Source organism: Homo sapiens, chromosome 1, assembly GCF_000001405.40.
Source record: "Homo sapiens chromosome 1, GRCh38.p14 Primary Assembly".
NCBI classification, from domain to species: domain Eukaryota; kingdom Metazoa; phylum Chordata; class Mammalia; order Primates; family Hominidae; genus Homo; species Homo sapiens.
Window position 1 is genome coordinate 5,305,250 of NC_000001.11, and position 9,160 is coordinate 5,314,409.

A 9,160-nucleotide genomic window follows, 5' to 3' on the forward strand; every position below is an offset into this window, starting at 1 on the left:
TCCCTGGAAGGCCACTTTCATGCAAGTCCATAATCCTTGGCCATCACTGCGGTACCCTCCTTTTGGGGATGGCACAGTTTCCCACACTGGACTTGGCCATGGGACATGCCTTGGCCCCGGGAATGTTAGTACATGATCTGCAAGCCACATCTGAAAAGCACTGGACTGCTTGGCTCTGACCTTCTGTCGTTATCGTGCCTGCCCACTGTTCCCAAGAAGGGGAAGGTAATGATTGAAGACTGGACCAGCCACAGTGCCTCAGCCAAGCCTAAGAGTGAGCCCAGCCCGCCCCAGACCCACTGTATTAGTCAGAGTTCTGCAGAGAAACAGACCCGATAGAAGACATGTCTCATATGATTATGGAGACTGAGAAGTCCTTGATCAGCCATATGCAAGCTGGAAACCCAGAAAGGCCAGTGTATAGCTCCAGTCCAAGTCCAAGGGCCTGAGAACCAGGTGTCAGGAGAACTGATGGTGTCAGTCTCAGTCTGGCAGCACAAGACAGATGTCTCAGCTCAAGCAGCCAGGCAGAGACAGAATTATTCCTTCCTCAGCCTTTTTATTCTGTTCAGGACCTCCGTGGATTGCATGAAGCCCACCCACATGGGGTGGGGCAACAGGCTTCACTCAGTTCAGCAATTTAAATGCTCATCTCTTCCAGAAACACCTTCACCCACACACCCAGAAACGATGTGTAGCCAAATATCTGGGCATTCCATGGTCAAGTCAAGTTGATACCTGATTAACCATTATACCCGTTGAACTGTGCAGAAGCAGGGGCAATGCATGGATATTGCTCAATGTCCCTGAGTTCTTGTGATCCCTACACAGCAAAACAGAGCAGTCATTGACAATACTCGTCCAATACTCAACACACGGCAGGCTCTTTTCTAAGTGCAGTAATCACCCTGTCTAATTTAATGTTCACGTCAACTTGGGTCAGATGAATATGACTTTTGATCCTTTTCTAGATGAGGACACAAAGGCACAAGAGGTTCAATCACTTGTCCAGTATCATATGGCCAGTAACTCTTGAAGGCAAGAATTTGGATCACGGAACTACACTGTAGAATTTGCTGGCTACTCCGCATTATAAATCAGGACACCACTGTTACTATTACCATTGGTAGTAATAGTAACATTACTGTTAATACTATTACAAATGTTTTGTTTTGTTTTGTTTGTTTTGTTTTGTTTGAGATGAAGTCTCACTCTGTCACCCAGGTTGGAGTGCGATGGCACGATCTTGGCTCACTGCAACCTCCGCCTCCCAGGTGCAAGCGACTCTCCTGCCTCAGCCTCCTGAGGTAGCTGGGCTTACAGGCACGTGCCACCATGCCCAGCTAATTTTTGTATTTTTAGTAGAGACGGGGTTTCACCATGTTAGTCAGGCTGGTCTCGAACTCCTGACCTCGTGATCTGCTCGCCTCGGCCTCCCAAAGTGCTGGGATTACAGGCGTGAGCCGCCACGCCCGGCTTATTGCTAATGTTTACTCTACTATTACTACCGCTATTCTATAACATTACTAATGCTAATACTGTAGTATTACTAATACTATACACTGTTAGTAAAGCTATGACTGTTCCTACTACTATTAGGGTATTTAGATATTACAAACTCCTTCTAGGTAAGCAAAAATCACTCTCTCGCTGACACAGTACAAACAGTTGCACAGACAAGCTGAGGCTTACTTTTCTTCTGTAAGAAGTTATATGTTTGCACTGCTGGTCTGTAAACTTCTAAATGGCGTCTCCGGGATCTTACACAAGTGCTGAAGCACAACAGGCTCTTAGTAAATGCCTTCAGAGTGAGTGGAGGTTTACACCCAGAAGTGCAGATTAAGGCAAGCCCAGAAGTGCAAGCCCTGTTTAGAGTTGAGAAAGTAAAATTGAGGTTCTAGGTCAGGGGCAGGCCTGGGGCGGGCGAGGCATGAGATTTTCAGGGTGAATTGTTCCAGGAAGTGCCCACTCCCAGGGGTGACCCCCTAACTTGCGCTGCCCCAAGAGCAAGTTCTGCCTCGTCCCAGCCCTGCAGGCAGAGGTCAGGCCCAACAGTGCGTGCGGAAGGAGAAGCTACATCCTCAATACTGTCCCCACTTTTGCTTGATCTGGGAAAGTCTCTATGATGTGCTTGCTGCCGGAAGGAGTTCGCATTTCCTGCCTGCTGACAAAAGGAGGTGACCCGGATGCTGAATTGAAAATGGGAAGCCAACCTCCGATTCCTAGTGACCGCAGTTCCACAGATGCAGAATCCGGCACAGGTAACAGAGAGATGACTGACTGCACATAAGCATCGGCCCCAAACTCCAAGGTCACACTCTCTGTAGTAAACTCAACTTCCGTTTGCTGCAAATATTCCTATCTACCCCTGCCACAAAGGACACACCCAGCTGTTCAAAGAAGACCTTTTTCCATCTTTAGACTTGCACGAGAGAACTCAGAGAAGTTTGTAAGGTGATTTCGTGAGTCAAAACTATACTTGCTCTCAAGAAAAAAAAGTTTGCAGCCAGGCGCAATGGCTCACCCCTGTAACTGTAGCACTTTGGGAGGCCGAGGTGGGCGGATTGCCTGAGCTCAGGAGTTTAAAACCAGCCTGGACAACATGGTGAAACCCCATCTCTACTAAAAATACAAAAAAATTACCCCGGCATGGCGACGTGTGCCTGTAGTCCCAGCTGCTTGGGAGGCTGAGGCAGGAGAATCGCTTGAACCCCGGAGGCGGAGGTTGCAGTGAGCTGAGATCGCACCACTGCATTCCAGCCTGGGTGACAGAGTGAGACTCCATCTCAAAAAAAAAAAAAAAAAAAAAAAAAAACAAAAGAAAAAAGAAAAAAAGTTTGCTTTCTATTTCATGATGCTGCACAATGGAGATGAGTGCTGCTGTTATTGTTTAATGAGAATAAAGAATCACATATAGATGATAAAACTGATGACTTAACAGAGAAGATACACAAATCCAAATGGAAAAGCATAGAGCTATTTGGCTGGGTTAAGAGCTGAGAGCCACAGTGCGCTGAGTGGCTTGTTTTGTAATCAGTTGATGTCCTTTGTCTCCGATCTAAATTGCATCTGATAAAGAAACACAGCTAGATGTTCTGTACCTGCCACTGGAGACCAAGACGAATGAACCCAGGAGCACGAGTCCACCAGGGATGACCAAGCTTTGCTGGAAGGAGCAGCCAATCAGGGCAGTCTCATGCATGTGGTTTGGGGTGGGGGTGATGTCACCCCATCAGCTGACAAATACCTCTAAAGCAGAAAGCAAGAGCAAGAAGGTCCGGGCTGTCTGCAAGGTCTGCAGGGCAAAGGGGTGCATCCCCCCAGCAGCCCGCCCACCACAGGCACCTTTCCTCTCTCCCTCTTCCCACATTGAAATGGGCTCCCTCTTTTCTCCCTTCAGCGGTAGAGACCCTGGAGGTGTGAGTTTGAGAGGGATTTTAAACCCAAGTGTGGAACCATAGAATTTCCCACTGCCCATGTCAGAGCTAAACCTACTGGGCTGTATGCCATGCAAATAGCTTTTAGTTTTAATTTTTTTGAGATGGAGTCTCGCTCTGTCACCCAGGCTACAGTGCAGTGGCACAATCTCAGGTCCCTGCAACCTCCGCCTCCCGGATTTAGGCAATTTTCTGCCTCAGCCTCCTGAGTAGCTGGGATTACAGGTGCGTGCCACCAGGCCTGGCTAATTTTTGTATTTTTAGTAGAGACGGGGTTTCACCATGTTGGCCAGGTTGGTCTTGAACTCCTGACCTCATGATCCACCCGCCTCGGCCTCCCAAAGTTTTGGGATTACAGGCGTGAGCCACCACACCCCCCGCCTAGTTTTAATTTTAATGACCCAGAAAGCCTTTATGATATAACATTAGCGAGGATGGAATCCCAGTCACGTATGCATGCAAATGGTGAATGAAGGAAACACAGACAGAGTAATACTGCTCTGTCCTGGGCCGTGGGATGATCACGATTTTTTTTTTTTTTTGACACAGAGTCTCACTCTGTCGCCCAAGCTCCAGTGCAGTGTTGCGATCTCTGCTCACGGCAACCTCCGCCTCCCAGGTTCAAGCAATTCTCCTGCCTTGGCCTCCCGAGTAGTTGGGACTACAGGCACGCACCACCATGCCCAGCTAATTTTTGCATTTTAAGTAGAGACTGGGTTTCACTATGTTGGCCAGGCTAGTCTCAAACTCCTGACCTCAGGCTATCCACTCACCTCGGTCTCCCAAAGTGCTGGGATTACAGGTGTGTGCCACTGCGCCCAGCCGATGGTGAATTTTAAGAAATCACATTAAGGAACTTCAAAAAATTTTTTTTACACCTAGCTGATAGTATTTTTGTAATCCAAAGAAGTGTTGCAATACTACACACTGTATTTAAAGAAAGGGAAACAGCTCACTGGTGTTCTGGCGTCGAATGGTGAAAGAGAGAACACCAGGGGACAGGTGAGGGAAGGCGAGGAAAGAGGGAACCATAGACTTTGAGAAGATTTCTTTATGGAAAGCCTGAACTGGAACTCAGTTTACAGCCAGGTTAAAGTCTTACAAAGCTCACTTTCATTATGTGCTTTAAAAGATTAAAATCTTTTAGTTGATTGATTTAAACTTTTTAAAATTGCAAGTCCTTTCTGTGTATGGTGTCAGAAGAATAAAATGGTTTTTCTAGGAGGAGCTGACAGATAGGTGGTAACTGAGGGGAGAATTATTTATAAACTGGAAGTAAACCAGGCATGCATTTTAAAAGAGTAAAAAGGAAAGCAGTGACCCCTTCAGATGAGGGGAGCCTATGCTGCAGGCCTGTGCCCTAATGAATGCTGGGGTTCAAAATGCTTCCCTTGGTGGCTGCCCTTCCAGGCCTCCCCAGCACTCCCAGGAAAGCTAAGGACCCTCTGACTTCTGGCATGACTCCTCTGAGCATAGAAAATACCACAGTCCGCAAAGGAAGGAACTTTCACTAAGAGCAAGCGGAGAGGTGAGCTTGAAATGAAGACATCCCGGCATCACGGCGTTGCTCAGGGCTCACCAAAGCAGATGCACTGAAAGCCACTTGTGCACCACACAGCTCTGTAAAAGGGTAAGACCATAGACAGAAGAGAGAGAAAGGAGGGAATTCCAATCTGTGTCTTGGTCCATTTGTGCTGCTATAACAGCATCCCTGAGACTGGGTGTTTTAGAAAGAACAGATATTTATTTATTGAAGTTCAAGAGGCTGAGATGTCCAAGGTGGAGGGGCCGACATCTAGCCAGGGACTACCTTCTGCATGGTGGAAGGTGGGAGGGTAAGAGAGTGAGAGAGTGACAGAATGAGAGCGAGGAAGAGGGCTGAGAGGGGTTCAGGAATGGGACCAGATTCATCCTTTTATCAGTAACCCACTCCCAAGATATCTAACCCACTCCCGACCCAGATAATAGCATTACCTCATTCATGGAGGCAGAATCTTCACGGCTTCAGCACCTCTAACGGGTCCCCCATCTCCACACTGTTGCATTGGGGTTAATTTCCTAACTCATGAGCCTCAGGGGCACATTCAGCCCACAGCAGCATGGCTCCCAGGAGTCCCCATAGCACTCTGTAGGGGGCCTGTCCAGTACAACAAGCAGGTTCCTGTCCTTTTCTGGGACGGCTCACCTCGCCATGAGCTTCCTGTTTTCTGTTCATCTTCTGATGAAGAAATCCTATTTCAGAGCCATGTTGTTTGGTCTCTCATCCAAGCCCATGCTTACCTGTGGGACAATTAGCGTCTGTTAACGACTCCTTCCTGGGTTTCACTCTCAACTCCAAAAACTCCTCCTTTTGGTCCACAACAGGTTTTCAGGTTGGAAATGGAGACATCCTCGCCTGAACCTATCCATATCCCTTTGCAGGGGAAATTGCCTCGCCCATGTCCCAAGGACAGGGTGGCAGCGACACGGGGTTCCCGCCTATCCTGGCCCATTCTGTGGGCGACTGGGTAGATGTGGGCACTTTGCCTACATCAGTGCATTGGGATCTATGACCTAGGAGCTATGACTCATGGCCCGGCGTGAAAGGGGGAGCTGGACCCCTGGAACTCCCCACTTGGCACTGGATGTGGGACCCAGTAGGACCCAGGTGGTCATCTGCTGAGACAGAAGTCTTCCTGAACCAAGAGGTTTGAAGAGCAGGGGTTGCGGCAAGTCAGCCCTGGCAAGCCTGAACACCTGCCCACTGTGGAAACAAGGAAGCAGAAACCACGGGCACCAGGCTGGGGAAGGAAAGACAGGCCAGAGACACACAGAGAGTCCGTGAGAAAGAAACGGTAGAGTCAGCGTAGTCAGCGCTGCTGCCCGGAGCCCAGATGACAATACCTTCTGGACTAACGCACCTGTTCATTAAAAATAAACAAAAATTAAAACCCCTACAAATAGGAAATAAGAAGCGCATAGCCATTTTGGGAGTTAATGTGATCAAACAGAAGCAATTTTGCCAGGGGGTTGAGCGGCCTCTCCAAGCCCAGGCCCAGCATGCAGCTCCCTAAGCCTCTTCTGTGCTTAATTAGCCAGGGCCCAGCTAATCTTTCCGAGTCATCCAGGGGGATCCAGAAACAGCAGGCCAAGGAAGCTTTGCGGGAACATAATTACCATCCCACATGAGCAGGAGGCTGGGAAACAGAGAGACATTCGTTGAATGAACACGGAGCTGGAGGGGACATCAGAGTGCAGAGAGCAGTGCGTGAGGTCAGAGGCTCCAAGGGAGTCAGAAGCAGCTCTTGCAGGGGCGGGGTCAGATGCAAAGCAAACCCCACAGAGGCCAGACTCCCACAGAGGAGTATCCCCCACCGCGCAGTTCACCTGGCTCAGCTCTCAGTGACCCCGGACTGGGATCTTGTGTGGATTGTTTTCTCTCTGGCCTCTCCAGCCTGCACAGCATAAATTGCTCTCAGCAGGATGGGCACTTAGGGACCTGCTGTTGCTGCAGTGGCATGGTGGCTGTTGACATTGGGAATAACATGTCCCTCTAACCCCATTCAGTGTGGGTGGCCATCTGCCCAAGTGCCAGAGCAGGGAGAGCCTCACTCCTGCCCACCAAAGCAGGAACGTTCTGACGGTTCATGTTCAACCTGCCAATAAGCAATCGCTGTGTCCCAATCCACCCTCTCCCCATGCTCCAGCCCTCTGCTGTCAGGCCCCTGCCCCTTCCCAGGCCTGGAAGACTGCTTTTTGCTCCTCCAATATCAAGCCCTAACTTTCCCAGCTCCAAGCCTTTGTGCAAGGTGTTCCTGCCACCTAGAGCACTCTTACTGTGTTCCACACCCACGGAGGAATTTTCCATCCTCTAAGAATCACCTTAAAAACTATCTCTTCTGCTGCTCCCCAGCAACGGAGCCCTGTCCCTCTCTGACTGCCGCAGCACTAGGCTCTTTTCATGACAAGTCTTACTCTAAGTACACAATACAAAGACAGGTGCGAGGATGTGAATAGGATACAGGATTCAAAGGCAAAAACCTTTGCTTGAGTCGTGGATATGTCAAACTCTCGCCAGAGCAGTGAGGACAACAGGGTTCTCCCCTGTGCACCACCTGTTACCTGCTGGGCACTGTCCTGAGAACCCTGCATGTATGAATTCAATTCATCCTCACAACACTCCGACAACACAGAGATGATAATTAAGCCCAGTTAAGAGATGGGAAAACCGAGGCCCTAGGCCACACTGCTGTAAGTGGGAGAGGGTTCCACACAGGCAGTCCGGCTCTGGTGCCACAACCCCTGTGCCCTGGGGAGAGGCATCATCAAGTGCTCTTAATAGAAGTGTCTCCATGAGTCACATGAGAAAAACAAACACCACTCATTCGCTCGTGTCGTGTTTATTGGAGACCGTGCAGCCCTGGGTCAGGACAGCTCCAGCTCAGGGAGCTCCGGCGGGCAGTGTGCCTGTGGGCATGGAGCTGTGAGGATTTACGATCCTTAGGGCTGCCTGGGGACATGTTCCCTCCCACGGATCATGGACGAGGACCCCTGGAGAACAGGGAGCAGCCCTAGCTGCCCTCTTTCAGTCCCTGGAGCTGACACCACAGGCACCCAGAAGGCCGGCTGCCCCGGATTTTGCTATCATCACTCTGTGGGAGAGGAGGTGGATTATATTCCTATTCTATTTAATAAAATAGTTAAAGCATGGGTCATCTCTTCAAACGGCTCTCTGTGACAGTCCCCACAATAGGAATCTGCTTCTCTGTAGGTAATCGAGGACACTAATGAAGAGGAGAAACAACAAGCTCGATTCCAGCCCCAGCCCCGAAACCACTCTGGGACAAAGATGGCAGTTCCACCTGTTGGTAAAATCAACTGTTGCAGGAAAGTCACCTGCTGTGGCGGGGAAGCGGCTCACCAAGGCTTAGCTCACAGGTGGACACACTTCTTCATAAAGACCCAGAGAGCAGATATTTTCAGCTTGGCAGGCCAAGAGACAAATTCAAGATTATTACCTACACATTCACATGACAAGAGAGAAAACAAATTCCCACACATTTTTATTGATGGATATCATCATAATTGAGTACTTTTTAAAAATATGAAATATGAGTAATATGAGTCTACTAATAATAAGGATGAAATTCCTGTTTCTAGAATACTGTTTTGTTTCATTGGGATTAAAGTTAGTGTTCCCTTTCATCAAACCAATTGCAATTGTGCATCTAGAAAAGTCATTCTCAGCTCGCGGATGGTGCAGAAACAAGCAGCGGGCTGCATGTAGCCTCTGGGCTGTTGTGTGAGTTTCTTGTGGCTGCTGAAACATATTAGCACAAATTTAATTGCTTACAACACAAATGTATTATCTTTCAGTTCTGAGGGGTCAGAAGTCTACAGTGGGCCTCACTGGGCTGTACAACTGAGGCATCAGCAGGGCTGTGCCCCATCTGGAGGTTCTAAGAGAGTTCCCAGTTCCCATCTCCTAACTGGGGCTAATTATCATCCCTCTGTTTGAGTGTTTCGAGGATGAATTGAGTTCATACATGCAGGGTTCTCAGAACAGTACCCAGCAGGTAACAGGCGGTGCACTGGCGAGAACCCTGTTGTCCTTTTTTGCAGCTCCTAGAGGCCACCTGACTCCTGTGGCTCAGGGACCCCCTGCGGCTCAGGGACCCCCCCCCGCCCGCCCCCCATGAAACTCATACCACTTCTGCCTCTGCCTCTGCCTCTGTCATCATATC

The 9,160-nt window shown here is 49.2% G+C and overlaps 1 annotated feature.

The window, feature by feature from the left end:
- Positions 6,346-6,847: an enhancer, noted in NCBI's record as "H3K4me1 hESC enhancer chr1:5371655-5372156 (GRCh37/hg19 assembly coordinates)". NCBI's record gives its function as "activates a minimal SCP1, AML or CMV promoter by ChIP-STARR-seq in naive H9 embryonic stem cells {active_cell/tissue: H9 hESC(naive)}" and the evidence as "EXISTENCE:reporter gene assay evidence [ECO:0000049][PMID:30033119]".